Here is a 27,561-nt window from a genome sequence, read left to right on the forward strand (position 1 = left end):
CTTCCCTCCCACATCGTTCCTGGGGGTCTTCGTAAAACAAACAAACAAACAAACAAACAAAACAACAACAACAACAAAAAAACCACTGCCTGGGGCTCTTCTCCTCCCAGGGTCAGCAGCTGTCTCTTTGCTTTTAGCTGTCTCCACCCCTCCCCTAGCCTCTCTTCTTCCTGCTTCAGTCACCGAGTCCCCTCCTCCCTCTCTCCCAGGGACAAACGCCCCCCCACAACTCAGGAAGTGGGGTTGGGGGGTCCGAAGGGAGCAAAAGTGATCGGATGGCGGTGGCAATGGGCACCCTATCTTAGGCGTTCAAATAAAGGACTAGGAAGCAAACACCCAAGCACCGGGGAACAGAACAGAAAGTAAGCGAGCCCGGGACGCGAATTTGAGGGCAGGACTTCGGGAGCCAGAGCCTGGCGGCGCTGCCGCAGCGGGTCACTCCCAGGGGGCCGGCACCCAGACTTGGCATCGTTAGCGCTTGGGTGCTCTGTCAACTAGCGAAGGTAATTTTCATCCCTGCTTTTTTTTTTTTTTTGAAAGGAAAGACGGAAGGAGCCAAGAGTTTTGGAGCCAACTCCTGGAGAGGGAGCGGCTGAACTGATTCGGAAGTTGGATCTCTTTGTACACAGGAATGCGGAGAGAAAAAAAACAAAACCCACCCCATTGCTTCATTTCCCCTCCAAGCCTGAGCACTTTCTATTGTGCAATGAAAAGGCTTTTCACGTTGAGAAAAATGAATCCCGAATTTGCTCTGCAAAGGGATGAGCGCGCCTCTGGGCGCCAGCCTGCTCTCAGCTGGGCGCGGAGACCGCGCGGTGGCCGCAGGGCGGCCGCGGCCAGGGCGCTCCAGGGCGCGCCCTCCGCGAGCGGCTCCGGGGTGACGCCCGCCGGAGAGCTGGACTCCCCCTTCCGCGGGCGCCTGCACTGGCTCTTAGCCAGCCGAGGGCCCGGGTGCAGATAGTCCGGGAACCCCGAGGGCGGAGAGCTCCCCACTACGCCTGGGCCTCCCAGGGATGGCAGCTCCGAGAGCCCCCTAGACCCGGTGCCTTGCAGGACGCCTCTGGAGATCAGGAGGGCTGGCGGCGCATTCGGCGTCCGGGAGGCCGGGCCCCGGACGCGCGAGGAGCGCGGGGCGCGGGAAGGCAGGCGGGTGCACATGGGTGCCGGCGGGCGAGCTGCGGGGGGAGGGGGGGCGGGGTGTGGCCTCCCCGCCTCCCGGGCGGGATTTGCATGTGTGTGGTGGCCCCAGACTTCCTGCTCCTTCTACGCTGCAGGTACGCGCGGGCCGGGCGGGGCGGGCGGGCGGCGGGCGCGCCAAGACGTGGGCACCTCCTCACCCGGACCCCGGGCCCCGCCGAGCCGCCTCCTGGCTCCCGTGGCCGCCAGCCCGCCCCGGCCGCACCGAGCGTCGGGATCCGAGGTGGGAGCGTACCCCTCCCCGCTCCCCGGACGCCTCAGTCCTCCGCACTGAGCTTGGCCACGCGCCCCTAGGCGCCCCCCACGCCCTGGGCCCCGGAGGGCCGCAGCCATGAGTGAAATGTCCAGCTTTCTTCACATCGGGGACATCGTCTCCCTGTACGCCGAGGGCTCCGTCAATGGCTTCATCAGCACTTTGGGGTGAGTGAGCCGAGCTCGAGAGGGGCGCGGGTAAAGAGGGGGCGCCGTGGGCCCTGGTGCCAGCTGCGTGCGTCCAGCCGCCGCCCCCCGATAGAGGCCTGGACGTCCCCCTAGTCTCAAGGAGCGGGAACGGCTCGCCTCCTTCTTTTACAGAAAGGAAGTGAAGTGTTTGCTCAGGTAGGACTCGGGCTCCCTACTGGAGTTGGCAGGAGGAGCCTCCCTCGGCGGCGCAGCCTCTACCCTCCCGCGCACGCCTTTGGAGGGGGCGGAGGGACGGAGGCTTCCTTTGCAGGTGGTCCCGGGGGCGGGCAGGTGGGTGGCTGGAGGCTGAGTTGGGGAAGGGCAGCCGGGCCGAGACGTGCCCGGCTCTGAGGGTAGGGCGGAGCTGTCGGGAGTGGGCAGGCTCAGCTTGGAGCCCGTAATCCTCTATTACCGATCCCGTGGTGCCTTTGAGGGGTCGCACCTTCTCCTCACAGCTCTCTCCCTGTTCTTCCCAGCTTCAGTAGGAGTGTCTTCTCAGCCCTCCCCTTCCAGGCTTCAAGGTCCTGGCCAGCTGCCCCTTCTCCCCGCCTCTCCCATTCAATTTCCTGCGCCGGTCATCTGGCGCCCTTGGGTCCTTGGTTCTAGCTTCTCTCCAGCACTTCACAAACATTAATTAATTCTGGCCGCCACCTCCCAGGGTCTGGGCTGGATGAACAGGGAATCAGTTCACGTCCCTGGAGAGGGCCAGGCCTGTAGCAGGGAGAGGGCAGGAGAGAAATTAGGTAGAGAGGATGGGTTTATCTTCAGAGGAGCAGCTGGATGTGATTCGCTGGATGGGAGCGTAGGTGGTTTCTCCAGCCAGACCCCAGGGCAGGGTCGGCTATCTTTGTCCCGTTTACAGTCTGGGGGCCTGGGTTAAATTGTCTCATCCTCCCAACCACACATGGCTGTCCTCTAGGGTACACCCACCCTCCTCTGCTGATCCACTGAGTGGGACCAGCCAGCCGCGTGGTGCCTTCTTTCTGATGGCCTTGGAGGACAACCTGGCACCCTCAGCTCAGGACTGATGCTGGACAGGGCCCGGCTCACCCCAAGCCTGGGAGGTGAGGGGTCACTGGTCTCTCCCAGGGTTGCTGGGAGTTTAGCTTTCATCTTGGTGTAAAGGGAATGGATTGTGGGATTGGAGGGCTGGCTCTGCCAAGCAGGGAGTTCTCACCTGGCATTCCAGCCTGCCCTGCTCGCCTTCTCGCAGAACCATCCAGGTCCCTCCTGGTGCCCTCCCCTTCACACGTGGAATCCCTGCCTATTTGTCCCCACTTCCACTAGATCTAACTTCTTCCCAGCTCCCTAGAGGATGGGGGTGGAGCCACATCTGGGCCAGCATTTGTGCAGGCCTCCTCCAGAGAGCAGTGACTAGGCCCTGGCTGCCCTGAGGCCAGGGCTGCCCACAGTAGGTACAGAGTAAACACCTCTGATAAAGCTGAGGGAAGGAGGAGAGGGTGTGGGGACTGGGAGGGACATAGGGATCTATCGTGGAAGTCCCCTCCTAGTGTCTGAAGAGCACCAGGGACTTTTGGGAAATGACCACCTCTGTTGCTTAGTGCCTGGCTTGGGGCTGAACACATGATGATTTTCAAGTGCCTGTGAGTTTTGTTTTTTTTTTTTTTTTTTAAGACAAGGTCTCACTTTCTCACTCAGGCTAGAATGCAGTGATGCAATCTTGGCTTACTGCAGCCTCGACCTCTGGGGTTCAAGCAATCCTCCTGCCTCAGCTCCCAAAACTAGCTGGGACTACAGGCACATCACCACACCCGGCTAATTTTTGTATTTTTTTTGTAGAGACTGGGTTTCACCATGTTGCCCAGGCTGGTCTCTAACTCCTGAGCTCAAGCAATCCGCCCACCCCAGCCTTCCAAAGTGCGTGAACCACCGTGCCCTGCCTAGCACCTGTGAGATTTAACAAGATCAGGGAAAACATCTTATTGCTTCTTCCCCTGCCCTTGTGCAGGCCTCACTCCCTCACAAAGGATTCCCTCTGTTGCCTCCAAAACTTCCTCCCAGCTTGGCCCTTCCTGCCCCAGGAACTGCTTCCTCCAGTCCACCTTGATCCTGGGGCAGATCCTGGTGACCTCTAGAAAGCCCTTCTACGCCGGGGTACCCCCTCCCTCTGCAAACACCTCCAACATCTCCTGATGTTCCACCAGCGGATGTCCACCCTCCTAGCATGGCTTTCTAGCATCGGCCTGTGCAGGTCTGCATCATAATTTTCTGGGGCTTTTTCACCTTCCCATACCTGGAACTCCAGGTGCACCACACGACTGCAACCTGTCCCGCGCTCTCAGTCTCTTTACCTTTGCTCTTGGGTTGTTCCCGCCCTTTAGCAAGCAAGTCTCCACCTGGGTAAATCTGTCCCACCCTCTAAGGCTTAATGCAAAGTGGCCTCTTTTGAGAAATCCAGCTTCCCCAACCCCTAGGGCAGAATTAACCCTTCGTCCTCTATGCTTTTGAACTGCTTTGTACAAACCACTCTCTGGTGTTCCTCACATTGGAGGCTTCCCTGTAGGCCCATCTAATGCTGGGCACCTTGCCAGGATTAACACCATTCATATATTTAGCAGGTCTACAGGCACTGTACTGGGTGCTGGGGACTTGGTGGTGATTAAGGGAGCTGTGCTTCCTGCTTCCTTGGAAGTTAAGAGTCAAAGAAGGAATGATTTGTAAGTGCTGTAAGTAATCAGTCCAGCAGCTTCAGCGTCACCAGGAAGTTTGTCAGAAATGCAGAATCTCAGACCCCGTGCCCGTCCTACTGAATGAGAATCTGCATTTTATTAAGATCCCCAGGGGACTGGTGCATTAAAGTGTGAGGAGCGTTGCTCTGAGTGATTTTCTCTCTGCCCCATCCTCCTCAGAATCCTTCTGCCTCCTTTCTGAACTCTGGTCCCCTCTGCTTTTCCCGAGGCTGTTGGTGCCCATGTCTGTGAACCCATAGGCTGATTTGACTGAATTCCTGGGCTAACCCAGTGCCCAGTGTGTGGGCCCCAGGAGGTACCCAGTAAGGGCTGGATAAAAATGAATGTGTTGAAGGCAGGGGTGGCCTTGGTGGGCAGATGGGCCAGGTCACCTGGGAGATGGGAAGGGGGCATTAGTTGGGGAGGGAGGCAGAGGCAGCATTCAGATTCTGGCCAGAGCTCTTCAGTGCAAAGTGGACGAGGCCAATTAGAGCCTCCTGGAGAATTAGAGGTCCTAGTGAAGATTGTACATTAACTCTAGGTGGGAAGGATGGGAGGGATCTGGGTAGTGGATCCAGGAGCGGTTGAGACTGCCAGCCGGCCAGCAAGGGAAAGCAGGCCCACGCCTGTTCTTGGCAGGAGAGCAAGGCCAATGCCACTGCTTTATCCCTTACCCTAGGTGGGAGCAGCAGAGGCCAGGGATGGAGTAGCTGATTAGGGCCAACAAAAAGTGGAGGATTGAATGTGGCCTCAGGCCAGTGGCTAGGGAGAACTGGCCTTGGGTACACAGGGTGGACCCATCAGGATCTCAAGTCATCTCTTGAAGATCTCTTTTTTTTTTTTTGAGACAGAGTTTCACTCTTGTTGCCCAGGCTGGAGTACAATGGGGCGATCTTAGTTCACTGCAACCTCAGCCTCCTGGGTTCAAGCGATTCTTCTGCCTCAGCCTCCCGAGTAGCTGGGATTACAGGCATGTGCCTCCACACCCAGCTAATTTTGTATTTTTAGTAGAGACTGGGTTTCTCCATGTTGGTCAGGCTGGTCTCAAACTCCCGACCTCAGATGATCCGCCTGCCTCGGCCTCCCAAAGTGTTGGGATTACAGCCGCGAGCCACTGTGCCTGGCGAAGATCTCTTATGAGTACCCAGAGAGGTAGCCCCAGACCCACAGAAAGTAAACTGGGGGAGTGCAGGTGAACTGGGTCTTGGAGCTGAGCTTTCAACATTTGTCAAAGTGCCTCTGCCCACCCATGGCTCAGCCTTGGAGCCTATTTGGAGCTCTCAGGGCCTCTGGACCTGGATCACCCAGGGCTGGGTAATCATAGTGAGTAGGAGATGCTGCCTCTTACCCATGGGATTCTCTGTCTACCTGCCAGCCTGACCTGCTTCCCTGGAGGTCAGGACCCAAGAAGTATGGGGGTGAATATAGACGAAGCCCCAGGTCTCCAGGCTCAGGATCCCTAGGTCGGAAACCTCAGAGGCATAGCTCTCAGGAAGGGTGTCTGTCTCATGTTCCATCACCAACTTGTTGGGTGGTTTCTGTTTTGTTTTGTTTGAAATGGGGTCTTTGTCACCCAGGCTGGAATGCAGTAGTGTGATCTGGGTTCACTGCAGCCTTAATCTCCCAGGCTCAAGCAATCCTTACAACTCAGCCGCCCGAGTAGCTGGGACTACAGGCGTGTGCTACCGCATCTGGCTAGTTTTTGTATTTTTTATAGAGATGGGGTCTCCCCTTGCTGCCCAAGCTAATCTAAAACTCCTGGGCTCAAGTGATCCTCCCTCCTCTGCCTCCCAAAGTGCTGGGATTACAGGCATGAGCCGCCGTGCCTGGCCGTTGCTGGATGCTTTGAACAAGGCCCTGCCTTCTCAGAGTGAGTTTCCGTCAGCCTGCATTATCCTCTATGGTGCTCTGGCTGTACCTGAGAATCACCTGGGGATTAAAAAAAAAATTTCAGCTCCCAAGTCCCATGCCAGACCAACTGAATCACCATCTCTAGGGCTAAGGTCTGGGTGTTAGATTTTTAAAAAGTTCTCCAGGTGGTTTTAATGAGTACCTGGGGCCGGGATCCCTGATCTGGGGGCCCTCCCAGGCTGACAGGCTGTGAGGAAGCCTGCCTGCTAGGTCTACCTGCCCCTCAGCCCAGAAGGCCCATCTCTTTGCCCTCATCAGACTTCATAATGTCATTCAACAAACATTTATTAGGCATCTACCATGTGCTAGGCAAGGCACTGTTTTAGGCACTGCAGAATCAGTGGTACCCAAGGCACAGGTCCAGCTTGTTCCGTTCTGTGCAGTGGGGCCCTTTGAGCCTTAAGTCTGAGACACATGTAATTCCAGGAGCAGGGGACTGCCTTTCCCTCGCTGATAGCATTCCCTGGGTGGATTTCAGACCTGTCTTGGCTTTCTTTCTTTTATTTTTTTGGAGAGAGTTTTGCTCTTGTTTTCCAGGCTGGAGTACAATGGCACAATCTCAGCTCACCACAACCTTCGCCTCCCAGGTTCAAGCGATTCTCCTGCCTCAGCCTCCCGAGTAGCTGGGATTACAGGCATGTGCCACCACGCCCGGCTAATTTTTTTGTATTTTTAGTAGAGATGGGGTTTCTCCATGTTGGTCAAGCTGGTCTTGAACTGCTGACCTCAGGTGATCTGCCTGCCTCGGCTTCCCAAAGTGCTGGGATTACAGGCATGAGCCACTGTACCCGGCTTGGCTTTCATTTAATTGTGATTTCATTGGAAGAAGATGTTAGACTTCTGTTCTGTACCTCAAGGCAGATTCTTGGTCTTAGCCTAATCCATGCAACTCATTTTTTGAAAATATATATATTTTTTCAGATTAAAAAAAAATATACATTCCATGGAGAAAATGTGAAAAACTCAAAAAAATGATCTGTAATACCACTATGGCTTACATGAACATTCCCTATGACCTTCTAGCCTTTTATATTCATAAATGAACATTTACAAACAATATCAAACTGCACGTATGGCTTTGTACCCTGTCCTTTTTTGCATATATATAGTGAGCTGTATTTTCCCATGCCAACACACCATTGTTATGGCTGCACAGCCATGGTATGCTGTACCTTAATTTATTTAAGCAACTCTAGTATTCAACATTCAGGCTCTTTGTAAATTTTTGCTGTTAAGAACAATTTGCCCTGAACATCCTAGTGCATGCATGCCTGAACACTTGTCTAGTTATAGTTATCCTCTCAGGTAATACGTTCCCAGAAATGGAGATCAAAGACAAGGTACACCTTTAACTCTTAGGCTGTCTAACTTTTTGTGTTTCTGTGGTGGTGGAGGGGTATAGGAACAGAACTTGGTGCCACAGAGGGTCAGACATGATTCATGTCATGTGTGAGTGTTGCACTAGCATGTGGGGAGTAAGACCAGCCTCTGCCCTCAAGGTTAGGTACTAGGCACTTCCCAGGCAGTGCGAGGATGTGATGGAGAAGGGATGAAGTGGAGAGGGGGTGGCGCGGGGTTGGCTCAGCCTAGAACCAGTGCCACACATCCACCTTGAGACTCCAGGGTCTCAGGCTGCATCCAACTGCTCGGCCTGAATCCTGCCGGCCTGAAAGAATCCTGCTGGAGCCACTTGATTACACTCTGCCCTGCCCTACATTCCTGACCCCATATCCCCTCCCTAGCTTGGCCCACTGGGGCGGTGGCTTGGGTTGGGGGTGGGGACACATGCTGAGTTTTAGGGTGGGGCCACACCAGCTTTCTGTTTTCAGCTTAGGGGGAGGTTTCTGGGTTTGGATGACCTCTGCACACATGCCTGGAGTCCCTGCATGTCCACCCCCAGCCCTGCTCTCTAGACTTCACCCCATGTGGGGCTGGGACACCCCTCTCTGGGAGTGAGGGCTGTGTGAGTGGAAGGGAAGAAACCTGGGGTGGGGGAAGGAGGAAAGCAGAACGCAGATCTCTACTAAGTTCATCACAGGCCTCTGAATGTGAGCTCTGAGCCCCCTGGGTATGTCAGGCTGGTCATGCGAAAGGTGCCAGTGACACCCAGCATTTGTACCTGCAGTCACAATTCCCTGCAGTCAGGACACCTGGCTTGGAGAGCTTGGGGTCACGCAGCAGGGGACTGAGAAGAGAAGTTTGTAGGGCCTTTCAGGCTAGGGACTGTGAGAGAAATCGTGGGTGCAGAAATGAGGCTGGGCGTTCACAACACAGTGAGTCCAGGGTGTGGGCTGGGGATGGAACTGGGTGGAGCCACATGCCACATTACAGAGGGATTTCCACTTGGGGAGACAGTCAGGAGAGACTCATTGCAGAGGCTTCAGTGAGGGAGTAAAATGGCCAGAGTGCTATGTTTTTTTGGTCAGCAGGTGGGCAGAGCCGGAAGGGGCTGTCAACACAAATCTCAGTCCAGGAGCAGCTGCAGGTGCTTGAGGCAGACACCTGTGCATATTTGGTTAGCAAATTGCTCTCCCCATCGCTCAGCCAGCCAGCCCGCCAGCCAGCCAGCCATTAGCCCTTCCTGCACAGTGCAGGAGAGCCCTCTTCTCCAGTATGAGTCTAGAAATAGATGATGGGGGTGATATAGGTAATGGGAGGGAAAATTAAGTCTGTGTCTCAAAGATGATGATGATGATGGCAGTGGGTAGACTTTACAGATCACTTACATTGGGTGGCCCTGGCCTTTACCTATGCTCTCACAGCCTGAGGCATAAATACAATTCAGGAAAAGTAGTGGGAAGCATTTAGAACACCAATTTGCTTACCACCTAGACTTAATCATTGTTTACAGTGGTCACATTTGATATTTGTATTTTTTGCTGAAGTATTTTATGATAAATTACATACATTGCATCTTTTTCACCTCTAAATATTTTATTATACATCCCTATGTAACTACAGTGTTGTGATCACACCAATTAATAGTTTCCTAATAGCATTCAGGGCCCAATCCATAGTCAGATGTGCCCATTGTCCTCAGTGGTGTGATCAGAGTTCACTGTAACCTCGAACTCCTGAGCTCAAGCAATCCTCCTGTCTTGGCCTCCCAAAGTGCTGGGATTACAGCCACTGGGCCCAGGTTGTCTGTGTTTGACCGACCATTGGTTTCTTTTTTTTTTTTTTTGAGATGGAGTTTCCCTCTTGTAGCCCAGGCTAGAGTGCAATGGTGCAATCTCGGCTCACTGCAGCCTCTGCCTCCCGGGTTCGAGTGATTCTCCTGCCTCAGCCTCCAGAGTAGCTGGGATTACCAGTGCCAGCCACCACGCCCAGCTAATTTTTGTATTTTTAGTAGAGACGGGTTTCACCATGTTGGGCAGGCTGGTCTTGAACTCCTAACCTCAGGTGATCTGCCCGCCTCAGCCTCCCAAAGTGTTGGGATTACAGGCGTGAGCCACCACGCCGGGCCTGACCATTGGTTTCTTTAAATCAGGATCCTAGGCCAGGCGCAGTGGCTCATGCCTGTAATCCCAGCTCTTTGGGAGGCTGAGGCAGGCGGATCACGAGGTCAAGAGATCAAGACCATCCTGGCCAACGTGGTGAAACTCCGTCTCTACTAAAAATACAAGAATTAGCTGGGCATCGTGGCACATGCCTGTGGTCCCAGCTACTCGGGAGGCTGAGGCAGGAGAATCACTTGAACCCGGGAGGTGGGGGTTGCAGTGAGCTGAGATCGTGCCACTGCACTCCAGCCTGGCAACAGAGTGAGACTCCGTCAAAAAAAAAGAAAAACCATCGAGATCCTGTCAAGGTACTCGTGTTACATTTTCTTATGCCTCTTCAGTTTCCTTTAATCTAAAACAGCGCCCCGCCCTCATCTCCTTTTCCACCATGAACACTGAGTTTCTGGCAAGGCGGGGTTGTGGTGTAGGCTGCTTCACTTTCTGGATTGATTTGTCAGGGCTGCCTTTGTTGCTTTGTTTCCCAGAGAGCTCTGCGGAGGTTTGGAGCCAGGGCGAGTTGGCCTGAGGGTCTGCCCTGCTGAGGGTCCTACAGCCTCAGTTACTCTGTCAAGTGAGAAAGACTGAGAGAGTCCAGTTCTGGGTTATGGAGAGTGGGAGACAAGCCTGGGGCTGGCAGGCCAAATATATGAGGCAAGGGCTGGCTGGCGGCCCATGGTTGCACCTTTTCTCCCTCTCTTCCCAGCTTTCCCTTTGGTCTCCTGCTCCCTGTCTTTCTTCTCCTTGGCCTTACAGATATGTCCTCCCATGCACCCAGCACCGCTGTAGAGACCCCAGGACTTGTCAGACAGCCCGCCTGACCCTGACAGCCAGAAACCCAGGCCTGTGGCAGAGGCAGGGTGGCACACTGGCCCCGACCTTTATTTCTACTGGGCCAAGTTTAGTTGTTCTTGCTATCTCCATTCTTCCTGGAGAGACTATTTGGGTTCTCTGCGTGTGCGGCTTATTGTCCTTTCTAGACTTTAAGCTTTCTGAAGGCTTTAGCTGTACTTGTTTTAAAATTCTATATATTCCATATACTGTCTGGCCCCCCGTTGGTTGGCACAGGGTGGATTCTTGGTAAAGATATGTAGAGGTAAAGGAAATGGTTGCTTTTGCAGGGATGCAGGAGTTAATTTCTTTTCTCTGATGAGCCAGGAGCCCCAACCAGTGAATCTGGGTTTCTCTCTTAACATTCCGCCTAGTAGGTGTGACTTTGGCTATCTGGAGAAAGGGCCCCCCAGGCTTCCCACCCACCACCAGCCCATCCCAGTGTTCTGACAGTGCCTGCTGTTGGAGTGGCCTCCTTGGGGCTGGCCTGCATCTGTGGAGTGGTGGCCAGTTGTAGGGTCTAGCCCTACGGGGCTTAGTGGGTGTTCTCCCCATGTGCGGAGATGAGAGATTGTAATAAATAAAAGCACAAGACAAAGAGATAAAGAAAAAACACCTGGGCCGGGGTGACCACTACCATCAAGACGCGGAGACCAGTAGTGGCCCTGAACGGCTGGGGTCACTGATATTTATTGCATACAAGACAAGGGGGCAGGGTAAGGAGGGTGAATCTTCTAAGTGATTGACAAGGTGAAGCAAGTCATGTGATTACAGGATAGGCGGCCCTTCCCTTTTAGGTAGCCGAAGCAGAGAGGGAAGGCAGCATATGTCAGCGTTTTCTTCTCTGCACTTGTAAGAAAGATCGAAGACTTTAAGACTTTCACTATTTCTTCTACCGCTATCTACTGCGCTCTTCAAAGAGGAACCAGGAGTACGGGAGGAGCATGAAAGTGGACAAGGAGTGGGACCATTGAAGCACAGCACCACAGGGAAGGGTTTAAGCCTCCGGATGACTGCGCGCAGGCCTGGATAATATCCAGCCTTCCACAAGAAGCTGGTGGAGCAGAGTGTTCCCCAACTCTTCCAAGGAAAGGAGACTCCCTTTCGCGGTCTGCTAATTAACGGGTGCATTCCCAGACACTGGCGTTACCACTTGACCAAGGAGCCCTCAAGCGGCCCTTATGTGGGCGTGACAGAGGGCTCACCTCTTGCCTTCCAGGTCACTTCTCACAATGTCCCTTCAGCACCTGACCCTATACCCACCGGTTATTCCTAGGTTATATTAGTAATGCAACAAAGAGTAATATTAAAAGCTAAAGATTAATAGTGATTGCTAATTGTCCATGATCATCTCTATATCTAATTTGTATTATGACTATTCTTATTCTATTTTTTTTATTATACTGAAACAGTTTGTGCCTTCAGTCTCTTGCCTTGGCACCTGGGTAATCCTCCACCCACAGCCAGTGTCTGGGGCTGGGAGCCAGAAGACCTGGGATCTGGAACTTGCTGTTCCATTAACTTGTGTGACCTGGGCGGGTCAGTTTCTCCTCCATGCCCCAGGGACAGTTTTCTCATCCACAGCTGAATGGGGGTGGGGGGAGGGTTGTTCAGGGTCCCTCGGGGATTTCCCCAGTCTGTCATTCCCCCAGTCTGTCATTCCCCCTCCCATGGTGCTCTGATGGTGGCCAAGGTGGTAGGTTTTGAGTCAGGCTCCTTGATAGTCACCTGCCCCACTTCTATCTAGCTCCCTTCCTCCTCCTTATCTAATCTTTCCAGACAGCACTGACCCACCCTGCTACCTTTCCCATGGCGCCCACCTGGATCTCAAAGTCCACGCAGGGTGGAATGGGGCAGAATGGGATGCAGCTGTCTTCCTCTCCTACCTCAGATCAAGGTCTTGGGGTGTAGACCCCGTGGGCATTTCAGGGACTGTGCCCTCCTGCAACCCTAGAACAAGCTGTCAACCAGCTCCTCTCCAGAGGGCCCAGAACAGCCCTGCCTGCCCACAGGCCTCCAGCCAGGACCCTTTCCCTGTAGCCCCATCCTCCTGCTCCCTCTGCTGTTCAGACTGGTCTTGTGCCTCCCAGTGGATGGAAGGCGCACTGCAGGGACTGTTGTCCTCTGGGCTCCTGAGCCTCTGCTGGGCTGGTCCTGGAGGGGAGAAGGGGACACACAGGTGTAGACAGGGCTCCTGTCCTCGGCACTCAGCGTGGTCGCAGGAGATCCCAGAGGGTGGGGACCACACCCAGCACATAGTAGGCTCGTGGTGAGGTCTGTCGAGTAGATGGAGGCCTGGGTTGTGTCTGTGCCATTCTCTGACCAGCTGTGTGGCTCAGGGGTTCCATCCACTCTGTGGGCCTCACTCTGGACTGTGGTAAGAACACAATGAGATACTGGATGTAAAAACGATTGATAAACTATAGAGTCGCGCGATGGAGGGGCAGTTTTTTTGTGATCTTGGCTGGGGTACCACCGGCCTCTAGGTGAGGGGCGATGCCGGTGGTGGGCGTAGCGGGGCGTGGGCAGGGAACCACACGGGAGCCTCAGCTTGGCCTTGAGATGGCAGGAGTGGGATGGGGCGTCATCCTAGTAGAGGCTGGACAGTGAGAGATCGGTGGGCTGGTAAAGGGTGGGAACAGGTCTTTTCTGGGGCCCGTGGGTGGAGGGACCTTGTGGGGAGGCGTTGGCGAGAGGGGGGTGAAGCGAAGCGGCCACTTACCCCTGTAGAGCGCGGCTCTGGTTTCAGCGCCCGGTGCGCACTCAGCAGGGCACCTGTGGTCCGGCTAGTTTGATAAACACAGGTGCCCGCCATGAGGAAGAGTCGGGGTGGGGCGCTAAGGCCAGGGACGTCGGTGCCATCAGGTGGGGAGGGGTACCCCGGGGCCGCCCTCCGCGGGCAGACGAGCGGGGGAGAGCAGGAAAGCGCGGGCGCAGCGGCACATCACCCGCCCCGCCCCCGGGCGCGTCTGGCGGAGGCGCGGCGTCCTGGCAGCGGCCGGCAGTCGGAGGCAGGCCGGGGCGAGGCCGCGCTGGCCCTCCCTTGGCGGCGGCGGCGCGTCGTGGGAGACGGCTGCACGTGGGACGGCGAGTTTCGCTTCGCCGCGGGGGCGGGGGCGGGGCCGGGGCCGGGGCCGGACGCCCGGAGCTCGCGGGCCGGGCCAGGCTGGGGGCGGGGCGGGCGCGGGGCGGGCGCGGGGCGGGGCCGGGCCGGGCCGGGGCGGGGCCAGGGAGGCCAGACCTACGCTCTCCGGAGCCGCGCGGACCCAGAACCGCTCCCACCACGCAGCGATGGGGAGGTCGCGGCCTCGCCCGGTGAGGCTCCCTCTCCATGCAAACTTGCCTAACTTGTGTCCCGGCCCTCGGCCCTCCCTCTGGCCCCAGGTCTCCCGACAGGCCATCTGATAAGAGCTTTCTTGCTTATCTGTTAATGACTTCACGCGACGCTCCCTCCCGTCCCCTCCTGCTCCCCTGTCGCCAGAGATCACCTTCATGGGATCCCTTAGGCCTAATGAGTACGCACAGAGACACGGGTGAGGGGAGCTTGGGGGCACGGTGGGACCCTGCAAACATCTGCCCAGGGCCACCTTCTTTATCTACACACACCAGGTGGGGGCTGCGCTCAACTTCTGGAGAATAAAACAAGGAAGGCAAGGTGGCAAGGTGCCACCTCTTGGAGGTTCTTGGGGGACACAGAATGGAGCTTAGCATTCCCAGATGATGCCTGTTTTGCTGGTCCTGGCGGACCCGGGAGAAAATGCCCAAGGTCCCATCTCCTGCCTCCCAAGTCCTCACTCCTGACCGACCCTCCCTGCTTTCCGTAGCCCTGCCCAGGGCTTGCTTCTCTGCTCCAGTCCCTTCCACAGACCGTTGTCGTCTGCTCAGCTGCACATCTGGGATGTTTTCCTTCCCAGCCTTGTTTGAATTCCCCTCCGGAATCCGTGCTCCCCTTCTGACCGGTCCCTCCCTTCTCTAAGTGGCTTCTGTTTGCACTCCTTGCTTTGTGGACTGCTGGGCACTGGCATGGGGAGGGGCTGAGCTGGAGAGGCGGGGCTTCAGAAGCTGTGCCAGCGTGGGCTCGGACAAATGGACATCCACCTAATGACCAGGTGGGCTTGTCCAGAGGGGTGAGGAAAAACGCTTTGGCCCCCAAATTTGCATGTCTTTCCTGCATGTGTGACCCAGACAAGGAGTTCCCAGGAGAGGCGTGGAGGGGTCAGGGATGAGGATGAGTTTTTTCCTCAGACAGGGACCCTCTGAGGAGGGGGACTCTGCGGCCTCTTCCTCTTTCCCCCGCTACAAGGCCCTGTGTACCGGTCAAGATGGGGGCTGTGGGGACTGCCGCCAGCCTCTCTTCAGCTGCACAACCTCCATGCTGCCCTGCGGCTCCATCACCCCAGTCAATGCTTTCTTTCTCTCGCCATCAAAATTCATCCATCCTGTGTCCCCTCCCTTCAGGGCTTTGCTAAGAGACAACCAGCTAATCTGATTCACTAATATCTTACAGGAAATTCTATGAATTATTCAAGGCTCTGAGCAGTTCCTGCTTCTCCCACACCTTCTCTGATTGGCCAAGCAGTGACCTCTCCCTTCCCTGAATTCGGACGAAACCCACGGCTGGTACCACCAGTCGGCTCTGATACATATTCTTTATATTATTTATCTTCTGAGTATGTGATTTGTCTTCCCAATGAGATTTTAAACTACCTGAGGCGGGGACCTTGTCTTTTGCTTCTTGTGTACTTTACTGCACAGCTAGTAAAATGAATTAATTAACTCAGTATGTATTTTGTGTGTCCCCTCTCTGCACCAGACAGTGGTTTGGGTGCTGAGGATACGGCAGGGAGCAAAACAGACACGTCTGTGCCCTCACGGCACTTAACATTCCATGGGGTCAGGCTAAGGGATAGTAAACAAAATAAGTAAACTAGCTAGCCAACCAGGTGGTGATAAAGGCTGTGGATAACAATTACACAGGGAGGTGCATACTGAGTGTGGCAGGAAGCAGTTTGCAATTTTTAATAAAAATGGGAGAGAGGGTCTCCAGTCTCCATGGGAACAGGCTTGTTTGAGCCCAGATCTGAAGGAGGTGAGGATCCTGGAGGTAGAGGGTTCTGGGCAGAGGAAGGAGCCAGTGCCCACTCCCCTGGGGGATTGAGGAGCCTGGAGGGGGCTCCAGGGCTGGAGCAGAGGGGTGAGGGGAAGGGGGATGGGGAGGAGATGCGATCAGAGATGTGAGGGGGTGGACCACGTGGGTCTTTCAGGCCATGTAAGTTCTTTGGTTTTATTCTGAGATGGGTGGTTCTGGTGAGTTCTGAGTGGAGTGCTGGCCTGATTTGACTTACCTTTTAAAGGGATCCCCTGGCCGGGTTCGGTGGCTCACGCCTGGAATCCCAGCACTTTGGGAGGCCGATGCAGGTGGATCACCTGAAGTCAGGAGATAGAGACCAGCCTGGCCAACGTGGTGAAACGCTGTCTCTACAAAAAAAAAAAAAAAAAAAAAAAAAAAAATTAGCTGGGCATGGTGGCAGGCACCTGTAATCCCAGCTACTTGGGAGGCTGAGGCAGGAGAATTGCTTGAACCTTGGAGGCAGAGGTTGCAGTGAGCCAAGATCATGCCACTGCACTCCAGCCCGGGTGACAGAGTAAGACTCTGTCTCAAAAAAATAAAAAATTAAAGGGATCCCCCTGCTTCTGTGTGGGAAATAGGCTGAAGGGAGTGAAGGGGGAACCCAGGAGACCAGTGAGGAGGTAGTTACTGAAATCCAGGTGAGAGCTGGTGGGAGCCTGGACAATGTGGTGGTGAGAGTGACAAGAAGAGGTCCAATTCTGTACCTGACTGTGTATTTTGAAGATGCAGCCCACAGGATTTCCTGACAGGTTAGGTGTGAGGTGTGAGTGGAAGGGAGGAGCCAAGGATAGGTCCAAGGTTTTTGGACCAAGCAGTTGGAAGGATGGAGTTGCCATCGACTGAGATGGGGAGGACCTCTGGAGGAGCATGTTCCGGTGGGAGGCCAGGAGCTCAGCTTGCACAGGCTGAGTTTGCGATGTCTGTGGACACCCAAGCAGAGATGCCGAGTAGGCAGTTAGATCTCCGAGGCTGGAGTTCATGGGAGGTGAATGTGGGAGTTCTCAGTGAAGGTTTTGGAGGTGCTTTTAAGTTCATGAGTGTGGTCAAGATGCCCAACGACGTGAGTGCAGATGGAGAAGGGAAGAGGGCCAGGGACTAAGCAGGTGCTGGAGGCCGGGAGAGAAAAGGAGACAGAGGACCCTCTGCCGTCCCGTCATTCTGCAGTCCTGCACAGCGCCTGCTCTGACGCCGGGCTGCCTGGCTTCAAAACCTGGCTCTGTGGATTGTTTAACATCTCTATACCCTGGTTTCTCTGCCTGCAAAATGGAAATAACAAAGTAGAATTAGAAACTTAAATAACAATATATGAAAACATGAGGTAGTTCTCCAGTACTCTGGGGACACCACCTGGATGTCCTGCAGTTCAATTCAATTCTGACACTATCTGCCTGGAGTCAGTGTCAGATCCCACAGGTGGAAAGCTCAGTCCCCCAAGACTAACATCACCTCAGATGCCAGTTGCAAGTCCGGGCTTCTGGTGCTTCTGACCAAACAGCCATAAATCTGGGGTTCCCACAACTCCCTCTTTATGTTTAATAATTTGCTAGAATGGCTCACAGAACTCAGAAAACAGCCAGATGGAAGAGATTAATATGGAGCAGGAGATACAGAGCTTCCAGGCCCTCTCCAGGGGTGACCCCCTCCCAGTACCCACATGTGTTCACCAGCCCAGCTCTCTGAACCTGGTTTTTTGTTTGCTTGTTTGTTTGTTTTTTTAACGGAGTCCCGCTCTTTTGCCCAGGCTGGAGTGCAATGGCTCGATCTCAGCACACTGCAACCTCTGCCTCTAGGGTTCAAGCGATTCTCCTGCCTCAGCCTCCTGAGTAGCTGGGGTTAGAGGTGTGTGCCACTACACCCAGCGATTTTTTTTTTTTTAGACGGAGTTTTGCTCTGTTGCCCAGGCTGGAGTGCAGTGACTCGATCTCGGCTCACTGCAACTCTGCCTCCTGGGTTCAAGCGATTCTCTTGCCTCAGCCTCCCGAGTAGCTGGGGTTACAAGAGTGCGTGTGCCACCACACCCGGCTAATTTTTTCTTTCTTTCTTTTTTTTTTTTTTTAGTAGAGATGGAGATTCGCCATGTTGGCCAGGTTGGTCTCAAACTCCTGACCTCAGGTGATTAGCCTGCCTCGGCCTCCCAAAGTGCTAGGATTACAGGCGTGAGCCACTGGCGCCTGGCCCCTTTTGGGTTTTTACAGAGGCTGCCTTACCTAGGCACGTTTTTTGTTTTGTTTTGTTTTGTTTTGTTTTTGTTGAGATGAAGTCTTGCTCTTTCGCCCAGGCTGAAGTGCAGTGGCGTGATCTCGGCTCACCACAACCTCTGCCTCCTGGGTTCAAGCGATTCTTCTGCCTCAGCTTCCTGTGTAGCTGGGATTACAGGCGCGCACCGCCACGCCCAGCTAATTTTTGTATTTTTAGTAGAGATGAGGTTTCACCATGTTGGTCAGGCGGGTCTCGAACTCCTGACTTAATGATCCACCCGCCTCAGCCTCCCAAAGTGCAGGGATTACAGGCATGAGCCACCGCGTCCATCCACATAGGCATGATTGATTAAACCATTGGCCATTGGTGGTCAACCTAACCTTCAGCGGCTCTCTCCTTCCAGGAGGAGGTCGTGACGGAGGTGGGGCTGAAAATGGGAACCCTCAAATTACACGGTTATTCCCCGGCAGCCCCATCCTCAGGGGCTTTCCAAAAGTCACCTCATTAACATAAAACCAGGTGTGGTTGAAAGAGGCTTGGAATGAACAAAATTCATGCCATTTCATCTTTATTGCTTCCGATCTATTTCAGGAACTGCATACAAAAATCTAAACATTGTAACTCTTCTTGCCTTTATCACTTAGGAAGTTACAAGGGCTTTAAGAGCTCTGGCCAGGAGCCGGGATGAAGACCAAATATATATTTCTTATTATATCATTAACACTTTGCATTGTGCAAGGTGTTAATCATTACAAAGAAAACACACAGGGGCTCCGTTCTCAAGGAACTCACAGTGTAGACACAGCAAGTCAAGAAGTGGGGAGAGACACTGCCAGGACCAGGTGCCGGAACATGAAGGAGGGAGGCCCACAGGGGCTGGCCAAGGAAGGCTTTGTAGAGTAGGAAAGCAGAGCTGAGGGTGGAAGGATGGAGTTTTGCTAGGCCTGTGGCTTCATGGGGCCAGAGTGGAGTGAGTATTAAGGCACTGCAGGCTGCCAGGACTGCCTCTGGAGAGATGAGAGCTCCAGGGACCTTGGGATCAACTGGAGGTTTAGTAGAGTTGGGGCAAGGAAATAGTGAGGCTAGCTAGGGAGTAGGTAGAGGTCAGATCACAAAAGACCTTGTTAGACTGGGCGTGGTGACTCACACCTGTAATCCCAGCACTTTGGGAGGCTGAGGCAGGTGGATCACGAGGTCAGGAGTTTGAGACCAGCCTGGCCAAGATGGTGAAACCCAGTCTTTACTAAAAATACAAAAATTAGCCAGGCGTGGTGGCAGGTGCCTGTAATCCAAGCTACTCAGGAGGCTGAGGCAGGAGAATTGCTTGAACCCGGGGGGCAGAGGTTGCAGTGAGTCGAGATTGCGCCACTGCACTCCAGTCTGGTCGACAGAGTGAAACTCTGTCTCAAAAAAAAAAAAAAAAACAGAAAAGACCTTGTTAACCAACCCAGGGAGAGGAGGTACAGAAGGAGCACGGGCTTTGAAATCAGCTCTGTGGGTTTAGGCAAGTTATTTAATATTCAGATTCGGTTTTCTCCTCAGTAAAATGGCACTAAAAACAAGCCCCTTGCTGGCAAGTTGGTGAGAATTCAGAGGTAACAGGCATGGGGGTGTTAAGACAGAGTTGGCCTTTGACACGGTGGGTGATCAGCATCACTTTATCTTAGAGGCTGGAGTGGCATTGACAAATTTTAAATGCAGGAAGGGTGGCTGGATGGGTAGATGGGTGGATGGGTGGATGGATGGGTGCATGGGTGGGTGGATGAATAGATGGATGATTGGGGGCTGGGTAGATGGATGGGTGGAGGGATGAGTGGATGGGTGGATAGATGGATGGGTAAATGAATGCCCTCAAGAGATGCAAGATTAATGCCAGCATGGCTATAAGAGGGAAATTGTCCTAGGGTGAACCAAGGAGGAGACTATGAAATGAGGCCTGACTGAGACTGGGAAGGGGTGAGAATCATCATCCTTCCTTGGAGACCTAAAGACTCATGCCGCTAGTTTGGTGTCTCCTGTGCTTCTCTCATCTGTCTGTCTTTGGTCTCTCTCTGCTTCTGTTTCTTATGCTTTTTGTCTTTCTGACTCTCTGTCTCCCTCCCTTCCACTCCTCTATGCTTTTGTTTTTCTCCTCCTCTCCTGCCCCCTTCACCCACTGCCCATCCCATCAGGGCAGCAGGGTCTCAGGGCTGGGACAGGAGATACACCTGCAGCATGTGACAGGCCCGACTGGTGGCAGAGTCCCCCCAGGACAGCTGCAGCTCCAGTCAGGGGGCTGGGGTGGGCTGGGTGTGCTTCTGTGTTCTTCCTGGGGTTCTCCCCGCCCCCAAGAGACACCTTGCCTTTCAACGGTGGTGCCAGGAAAGAATGACTTGATGGTGGGGAGCTTGTTAGAGATGGAGGAATTATCTTAGGGGCTCACTGGTACCCTGGCATCCCCTGCTCTAAGGGAAGGGATACTGTGGGAGATAGGTCTCTTCTCTCCTGCTGACCGAGCTGCTTTGTTCCCCAGGCTGGTGGATGACCGCTGTGTGGTGGAGCCCGCGGCCGGGGACCTGGACAACCCCCCTAAGAAGTTCCGTGGTAAGACCTCCGCTTCCTCTGCCCCCGCCCCTCCCAGGCTGCAGGGTTCTGGACCTGCGACTGAATTTATTCAACTGCATTCAGCCCCAGTGGCTGGATTAGATGTGGCGCTGCCCTGCAGACCTCACTCTGCTGTCGGCGGAATCCCCCTTGGCTTGCACTGCTGCCATCTTGGCACAGACGTGCCATTCCCTTCATTTTCTGGGGCCACACCCCACTTCTCAGGGGCACACCCACTTCTGGCCAGGGGCCCATTCTCCCCCCAAAATCCCCACAGCCACAGGGCTTTCTTTGTCTGTGTGACTGGATGTTTTCTGAGGGAACGGGTGGAAAAGAGAATTGTCTTAGACTTTAGGAGGCCCTGGTGACAGCCCTTCCCTGTGCCTCAGTTCCTCATCTGCATGGTAAGAGATTTGGACCCCATGGTTTCCAGAACTCTTCTGACCCTGGCTGTGTCCTCAGCCCCCTCCTGTGTGTGAGTCCTGCCCTGCAGGAGGCTCTAATAACAAAGCCCCTTGGTGGGAAGTTGGTGAGAATTCACCTTGGGCAAGTGACTTCGTTCACGGGACCTTGTCCTGAGTGGTCAGTGGGCTCCTCGGGCCGCCCAGCAGGCTGAGGGCCTTTGTGGGGATTAAACAATATCCTGGCTGTCATTATGCCAAGCCAGGGTGAGGTGCTATTGTTGTGCTTACCTGTGAGGGCTGAGACCGACTGACAGTCAGACAGACAGGTCCTGGGCGTGTTGGGCAGGGTGGGAGCAGGCAGCAACACGCTGGGCCTGCTGCCACCAAGTCTGCCCGCGTGGCTGCTCCTCTGGGGAGAGCTTAGCTGGGATTGTCCTCGCGGGGGATGCTGGAAGGGGAGCGGGATTTAAGACAATCCGGCGGCATCCTTGGCTGGCTGGCTGGCGGCCGGGGTCCTTGCCCATCACTTGGAACCTGCAGAGGGGCCCCCTGTCTGCAATTCTGTTCCTGCTTCCATCACGGGGCTCTGAGTGAGGGTTTTGGCTGGTGGAGGTCTTAGGTGGGAACTGCCCTGGCCCTGGACGAACCGCACCACCATAAGGCCCCTTCACCCTACACCGTTGGCCCCTGCTGCCTCTCCACCTCATCCTCTCCCCCTTGCCCCCTCCCACTTCCCTGCAACCACACCAGCCTCCCTGCCATTCCTCACAGTCACCAGCAACACTCCCGCCTCCACATCTTTGCTGTTCCCTCTGCCCTGAACGTTCTTTCTCCAAATATCCACGCAGCCCAGATGCTCAGCAGCTTTAGGTCTCACATCTTCAGCGAGGCCTTCCCTGACCACTCAATACAAAATCGCACTGCTGGCCCCACCTCCCTTCCCTGCTTTCTTTTTCTCTGTAGCATGAATCTGCTGTGCTCAGTGTATTTTATTTATTTGTGTTTGCCATTTTTCTGCCCCACTAGAATGTCAGTTCCACCAGGGGAGGGATTTCTGTGTTTTTGTTGTTGTTGTTTGCTGTTTTACCTGCAGTGTCTGCCACACGGCAGATCCCCGAGCACATTTGAGTAATCAATGCATGCACAGGGCCCCTCCCCAGCGTCCTCTTGCCCTGCCCCTCACTCAGGCCTGGCTGCTCCATGTCCTGTTGTTGTGACCCACCCAGAATCTCCCCAGTGGAGCCCAGGCTCTGTGGGTTTAATGTGCTCACTTGGAGGCACAGGTCTGACCTCGCCTGTCCCAGTTCCCTGAAGGATGGACGGGTAGAGAAAGGAGGCCTGGGCCTCTCCTGGAGTCAGAAATGGGAGGGCGTTGAGGCTGCAGATGGAGGCTAGATTGCCATCTAGTAGGAGGATTTAGTCTAGTTCTTGGAAAGAACTTAGAGACAGAGAGAAAGAGAGAGAGAGGTGAGGGTCCCAAGGGTGGGCTCTGCCAGGACCGGAAGGGGAAGCTTTGCATGTGTGTCGAGGTGTGTGTGGGCAGCTGTGTGGTGTGACAGGCTGGTGACAGGGAGGTGGGTGTGACCGAGGAAGACTTGCCCTAAGCTTCTAGTGAACAGTTTGGGGCCAATTTTTGACAACAACAAAGCCACTTAGCAGAACAAATGCGCCTTTGACTTCTTGCCCTCCTCTGTCCTCATTGCGCCTTCCCTCTCCCTCCTCCCCCAGGCCCCTCATCTCATCTTCTCCATTTTCCCAAAGCCTGTGAATGAGGCCCACCCCAGGATACCTGGGCCACCCCGTGGTCCCATATCCTCGCTGGGTCCATCCAGCAAAGTGATGTGGAAGAGAAAGGTTCAGACTCCATCTCCTTCCCCCTCTTCTCTGCCCCAGCTCCTGGTTCCTTGATGTCTTGGTGAGGTGGGTAGAGGCCCCTCTGGACTCCCTATGGCCCTGTTGGGACCTGAGCAGAGCCAACCTTCTGGAACAGAGCCAGGCCTCCGTACACCCTTTGGCTGGCGAGTACAAGTTGGGGCATTAGAATGTGGGATGAGAGACATGGACTATAGCCTCTTCAGTTTTGACACTGGAGCCCAGAAAAGACAAAGATGGAGCTTGGCCTCAAGCCAGGAGTCCTGGCTTTCACTGTTTCCACTGGCCCTGGAGGGTGGGACCCAGCAAGGGGGTGGGGTTATGGCAGGCGTTTTAGAAGTTGGCTGGTGGTCATCAGAAATGGCCTTGTCCTGAAGACTCCCAGAAGTTCTGCCCCCCACCATCTTGGGGTGAGCCTGGCCATTGCTGGGACTCCCAGCTCCCTGCCCGGCTCCCTGCCAGCTCCCCTTTCACTTGCTGACCCTGGAGGCTGGACTCGCAAAGCCCCCACCACCCCCACCTCGGGAAGGAATCCCTGCATGGCTCCTTGCTTGTGGCTTCAGCTCCAGCCACCTTCGAAGCCACCCTAAGCCCCAACATGTTCAGGGAATTATTTCCAGAGCTGGCAAGGCCCTGGGAAGCCCAGGCTGCTGATGCCCTGCTATGTGTGGCACCCACGCTAGGCCAGCCCTTGAACTCTGCCTGGCTGTAACGTTTCGGGCTGTGGCTGCCGTGAGTCCCGAGCTGCTGACTGGGCTGAGCCTGGGGCACATTCCCTCTCCTAGCCCTTTTTCCTTCTTTTCCTCCTCCTGTTGGGGCAAGGGACCTGGGTAGCCCTTGTCTCCAGGTCTACCTCAGGGAAGCTCAGAGCCTGCACCCCCAGCCCCAGTGCCCCCAAGACATGTGTGTGGGGGCAGGTGCCAGGGAGGAGAGTGATGAGGTGACTGCCCTCCATTTGCATGACTGGATGCCCCCTTCCCTAGCCTACGCCTCCTCTACCTGTCCATGCTCCAAGCCCGGCTTATTGTTATTGTGATTAAGATATATTTCAAGTCTACACGATAGTAAAGAGAAAAATAGGGCTGGGCGCGGTGGCTCACGCCTGTAACTGCAGCACTTGGGAGGCCGAGGCAGTCAGGTCACGAGGTCCAGAGTTCGAGACCAGCCTAGCCAACATGGTGAAACCCTGTCTCTACTAAGAACACAAAAATTAGCCGGGCATGGTGGCATGTGCCTGTAATCCCAGCTACTTGGTAAGCAGAGGCAGAAGAATTGCTTGAACCCAAGAAGCAGAGTTTGCAGTGAGCTGAGATTGTGCCACTGCACTCCAAGCTGGGTGACAGAGCAAGACTCTGTCTCAGGGGAAAAAAAGAAAGAGAAAAGTGACACACACCCCATGCACCCACTGCTGAGCTTTGTCAAATCCTTTTTGCTACGTTTATTTCAGATCTTTTTACTTTTTTTTTTTTTTAAGTAGAGATGGGGTTTCACCTTGTTGTCCAGGCTGGTCTGGAACTCCTGACCTCAGGCAATCCGCCCGTCTCGGCCTTCCAAAGTGCTGGGATTACAGGCGTGAGCCACTGCGCCTGGCCCAGATCTTTTTACTTTTAAAGAATTAACATAGCTGTAGCCGAAGCCCCCTACATCTTCCTCCCTTCCCCTTCCTCTCCTGCCTTCTCCAGAGGTAAACACTTGTCAGAAATTGGTGTGCATCATTCAAGGGCCTGTTTTATTTTTATTTTTTACTCATGCCTAACACAAAGCTTTGACCAGGGGTCTGTTTTAATGCTTTTGCTATTAATGCATAGGGATGTAACTGTGCACAATATAGGTTTTTTTTTTTTTTTTTTTGAGACAGAGTCTCGCTCTGTTGCCCAGGCTGGAGCACAATGGTGCAATCAAGGCTCACTGCAACCTCTCCCTCCCGGGTTCAAGTGTTTCTCCCACCTCAGCCTCCCAAGTAGCTGAGATTACAGGTGCGTGCCACCACGCCCAGCTAATTTTTGTATTTTTAGTACAGATGGGGTTTCATCATGTTGGCCAGGCTGGTCTTAAACTCCTGACCTCAGGTGATCCACCTGCCTTGGCCTCCCAAAGTGTTGGGATTACAGGTATGAGCCACTGCACCTGGCTAAGTTTTTATATTTTTTAAACCCCATATATTAAAGGTAGCCTCCTGGACAAATCCTTTTGCACTTTTTAAATTCTATACTGGTTCCTGGCCAGGCATAGTGGCTCACGCCTATAATCCCAGCACTTTGGGAGGCCAAGGCAGGTGGATCACCTGAGGTCAGGAGTTTGAGACCAGCCAGGCCAACATGGTGAAACCCCCGTCTCTACTAAAAATACAAATATTGGCCGGGTGTGGTGGTGGGCACCTGTACTCCCAGCTACTCAGGAGGCTAAGGCAGGAGAATCGCTTGAACCCGGGAGGCGGAGGTTGCAGTGAGCCAAGATCACGCCACTGCACTCCAGCCTGGGTGACACAGGGAGACGCTGTCTCAAACAAACAAACAAAAAATTAATAAAATAAAAATAAATTCAGTACTGTTTTTGAGATTTATCTGAGTTGATACACATGGCTGTAGTTCATGTGTTTAATTGCAATGTTGCATTCCATTGGGCGATAAACTGAATCCCTTCATTGGCACTCCTGTTGATGGACTTTCAGCTCATTTCCAGCTTTTGGCAATTGCCTGCGATGCTGCAGTGAGCCTCCTTAGGCTCGTGTGCTCGGGTTCCTCTGGTATGTTCTGAGTGGGGGGATTACTAGGTGAGAGGAATGCGCCTCCATGGCATGAGAAGTGACCCTGTGGCGACTGTGGGGGCAGCTCCCTTCGCTCTGCCCACATCCTTGCCACACTTGGTCTTGTCCCACTTAAATTTCTTCCAGCCTGCTGGGTGTGAAATGGCATCTTACTGTGGTTTTAATTTACATTTCTCTGACTACTAGTGAGGTTGAGCACCTTTTCATAAGTTTTTTGGTCACTGAAAATGTACTCTTTTTTTTTTTCTTTCGTTTTTTGAGATGGAGTCTCACTCTGTCACCCAGGCTGGAGTGCAATGGCACGATCTCAGCTCACTGCAACCTCTGCCTCCTGGATTCAAGCGATTCTTCAGCCTCAGCCTCCTGAGTAGCTGGGATTACAGGCACGTGCCACCACACCTGGCTAATTTTTGTATTTTTAGTAGAGACAGAGTTTCACTATGTTGGTCAGGCTGGTGTCGAACTCCTGACCCCGTGATCCACCCGCCTCGGTCTCCCAAAGTGTTAGGATTACAGGCGTGAGCCACCACACCTGGCCGAAAATGTACTCTTATTCCTTTTTTTCCTTTTTATAAAAGTAAGACAAATACATGATCTAGGATCCCCCACTCTACCCTGGTCCTCCACTCTACCCTCCTCACTCAACCTCCTTTCCCCTTCTCCAGGGGCAACCATATAAGAAAATCTAACTAGGTAATTTATTCATTCTGTTAAAACATCAAAACACCATACAAACACAGACTGAGAGTCTGCTCCCACCCTCTTCCCACCCCCCACCCCCTCCACCACTGCCTCTTTAGGTCATCACTGTCTTTAATTGCTTATGTCTCTTCCAGTGTTCCATTCTGCAAATACAAACATATATCCAGATTTTCCCTTTTCTTATAGAAAGATAGCATTCTATATACACTATTCTGTTTTTTTGCTGGTTTCGCTTTATAAATCTTGCTGTAGACAGACCCTTCTGGAGATCTTTCTCTCTGAATATGTAGAAGCTCAAACTTCCTCTCTCTCTCTTTCATTAATTATATTCACTTTAGCCAGGTGTGGTGGCTCATGCCTGTAATCCCAGCAGTTTGGGACACCCAGGTAGGTGGATTGCTTGAGCCTAGGAGTTTGAGACCAGCCTGGGCAACATGGCGAAACCCCGTCCCTACAAAAATACAAAAATTAGCTGGATGTGGTGGTACACCCCTGTAGTCTCAGCTACACAGGAGACTGAGGTGGGAGGATCGCATGAGGCCAGGAGGTCAAGTCTGCAGTGAGCCGTGATTGCACCACTGCTTTCCAACCTGGGCGACATAGTGAGATCCTGTCTCAAAAAAAAAGATGAAAAAAAGTATATTCATTTTAGTTGCATATTGTGGACAACCATGAGAAAATAGTCTCCTACAAATTACATAGTAATTTGTCTTAAATATTAAAAAAGGTTATTTATTTATTTATTAAGACAGGGTCTTGCTTTGTTGCCCAGGTCAGAGTGCAGTGACACCATGGTTCACTGCAACCCTGACCTCCTGGACTCAAGCAATCCTGCCTCACCTTCCAGAGCAGCTGGGACTACAGGTGCGTGCCACCATGCTTGGCTAATTTATTTATTTTTTGTAGAGACAGGGTTTCACTGTGTTGCCTAGGCTGGAAAATAAGCGAACTCTTGGACTCAAGCAATCTGCCCGCTTCAACCTCCCAGAATATTGGGATTACAGGTGTGAGCCACTGTGCCTGGCAAAAGTCACTTATTTTTAATTGTGGTAAGATTCACATAACAAGGAGTTTCCCATCTTAACCATCGTTAAGCATACAGTTGAGCAGCATTCCGTACATTTTCATTTCTGTGCAACTATTACCACCATCCATCCACAGACCTTTTTTCATCTTGCAAAACTGAAACTCAGTACCCATTAAACAATAACTCCCCATTTCCTCCTCCCCCCAGCCCTTGCAACTACCATTCTACTCTCTGTTTCTATGAATTTGATTACTCTTGGTACCTTATACAAGTGGAATCATGCAGTGTTTGCCCTTTTGTGACTGGCTT

The 27,561-nt window shown here is 53.5% G+C and overlaps 1 protein-coding gene and 2 long non-coding RNA genes across 8 annotated transcripts in view, besides 12 other annotated features; 2 read left to right on the top strand and 1 right to left on the bottom strand.

Annotated features, from left to right (window-relative positions):
- Positions 746-1,055: a silencer, noted in NCBI's record as "silent region_17047". NCBI's record gives its function as "represses an Ori minimal core promoter by ATAC-STARR-seq in GM12878 lymphoblastoid cells {active_cell/tissue: GM12878}" and the evidence as "EXISTENCE:reporter gene assay evidence [ECO:0000049][PMID:35858748]".
- Positions 1,086-1,205: a silencer, noted in NCBI's record as "silent region_17048". NCBI's record gives its function as "represses an Ori minimal core promoter by ATAC-STARR-seq in GM12878 lymphoblastoid cells {active_cell/tissue: GM12878}" and the evidence as "EXISTENCE:reporter gene assay evidence [ECO:0000049][PMID:35858748]".
- ITPR3 (inositol 1,4,5-trisphosphate receptor type 3) overlaps positions 1,248-27,561 on the top strand; it is a 75,241-nt gene continuing 48,927 nt past the window's right edge. For 2 of the 6 annotated variants that reach the window (XM_047418731.1, XM_017010832.2), the window contains exons 1-3: positions 1,248-1,274; positions 1,492-1,617; positions 20,410-20,480. In XM_047418731.1, the coding sequence (XP_047274687.1) occupies positions 1,529-1,617; positions 20,410-20,480 (160 nt within the window). In that variant the 5' untranslated portion in view covers positions 1,248-1,274; positions 1,492-1,528. Of the gene's footprint in view, positions 1,618-1,714; positions 1,795-3,271; positions 4,317-13,801; positions 13,883-20,409; positions 20,481-27,561 lie in introns of those variants that run through there. The other 4 variants (NM_002224.4, XM_047418732.1, XM_047418734.1 and 1 more) reach the window with 4 other exon arrangements.
- Positions 1,256-1,425: a silencer, noted in NCBI's record as "silent region_17049". NCBI's record gives its function as "represses an Ori minimal core promoter by ATAC-STARR-seq in GM12878 lymphoblastoid cells {active_cell/tissue: GM12878}" and the evidence as "EXISTENCE:reporter gene assay evidence [ECO:0000049][PMID:35858748]".
- Positions 1,436-1,585: a silencer, noted in NCBI's record as "silent region_17050". NCBI's record gives its function as "represses an Ori minimal core promoter by ATAC-STARR-seq in GM12878 lymphoblastoid cells {active_cell/tissue: GM12878}" and the evidence as "EXISTENCE:reporter gene assay evidence [ECO:0000049][PMID:35858748]".
- Positions 1,436-1,650: a biological region, named in NCBI's record as "ReSE screen-validated silencer GRCh37_chr6:33589316-33589501".
- Positions 1,465-1,650: a silencer, noted in NCBI's record as "fragment chr6:33589316-33589501 (GRCh37/hg19 assembly coordinates)". NCBI's record gives its function as "represses an EF-1alpha promoter that drives an FKBP-Casp9 reporter gene in an ReSE screen in K562 erythroleukemia cells {active_cell/tissue: K562}" and the evidence as "EXISTENCE:reporter gene assay evidence [ECO:0000049][PMID:32094911]".
- Positions 2,172-2,721: an enhancer, noted in NCBI's record as "H3K4me1 hESC enhancer chr6:33590023-33590572 (GRCh37/hg19 assembly coordinates)". NCBI's record gives its function as "activates a minimal SCP1, AML or CMV promoter by ChIP-STARR-seq in primed H9 embryonic stem cells {active_cell/tissue: H9 hESC(primed)}" and the evidence as "EXISTENCE:reporter gene assay evidence [ECO:0000049][PMID:30033119]".
- Positions 2,722-3,270: an enhancer, noted in NCBI's record as "H3K4me1 hESC enhancer chr6:33590573-33591121 (GRCh37/hg19 assembly coordinates)". NCBI's record gives its function as "activates a minimal SCP1, AML or CMV promoter by ChIP-STARR-seq in primed H9 embryonic stem cells {active_cell/tissue: H9 hESC(primed)}" and the evidence as "EXISTENCE:reporter gene assay evidence [ECO:0000049][PMID:30033119]".
- Positions 8,534-8,583: a silencer, noted in NCBI's record as "silent region_17051". NCBI's record gives its function as "represses an Ori minimal core promoter by ATAC-STARR-seq in GM12878 lymphoblastoid cells {active_cell/tissue: GM12878}" and the evidence as "EXISTENCE:reporter gene assay evidence [ECO:0000049][PMID:35858748]".
- Positions 9,176-10,052: an enhancer, noted in NCBI's record as "H3K4me1 hESC enhancer chr6:33597027-33597903 (GRCh37/hg19 assembly coordinates)". NCBI's record gives its function as "activates a minimal SCP1, AML or CMV promoter by ChIP-STARR-seq in primed H9 embryonic stem cells {active_cell/tissue: H9 hESC(primed)}" and the evidence as "EXISTENCE:reporter gene assay evidence [ECO:0000049][PMID:30033119]".
- Positions 9,964-11,897, top strand: LOC124901305 (uncharacterized). Its single transcript, XR_007059550.1, has 2 exons — positions 9,964-10,310; positions 11,365-11,897. It is a non-coding gene; the product is annotated as an uncharacterized LOC124901305 (long non-coding RNA).
- ITPR3-AS1 (ITPR3 antisense RNA 1) lies at positions 11,170-13,671 on the bottom strand. The gene is made up of 2 exons (NR_134628.1): positions 13,290-13,671; positions 11,170-12,939 (listed from the first exon to the last, which is right to left on the bottom strand). It is a non-coding gene; the product is annotated as an ITPR3 antisense RNA 1 (long non-coding RNA).
- Positions 13,461-13,790: a silencer, noted in NCBI's record as "silent region_17052". NCBI's record gives its function as "represses an Ori minimal core promoter by ATAC-STARR-seq in GM12878 lymphoblastoid cells {active_cell/tissue: GM12878}" and the evidence as "EXISTENCE:reporter gene assay evidence [ECO:0000049][PMID:35858748]".
- Positions 14,498-15,044: an enhancer, noted in NCBI's record as "H3K4me1 hESC enhancer chr6:33602349-33602895 (GRCh37/hg19 assembly coordinates)". NCBI's record gives its function as "activates a minimal SCP1, AML or CMV promoter by ChIP-STARR-seq in primed H9 embryonic stem cells {active_cell/tissue: H9 hESC(primed)}" and the evidence as "EXISTENCE:reporter gene assay evidence [ECO:0000049][PMID:30033119]".

The sequence above is a fragment of the Homo sapiens genome, chromosome 6, assembly GCF_000001405.40.
Source record: "Homo sapiens chromosome 6, GRCh38.p14 Primary Assembly".
NCBI lineage: Eukaryota > Metazoa > Chordata > Mammalia > Primates > Hominidae > Homo > Homo sapiens.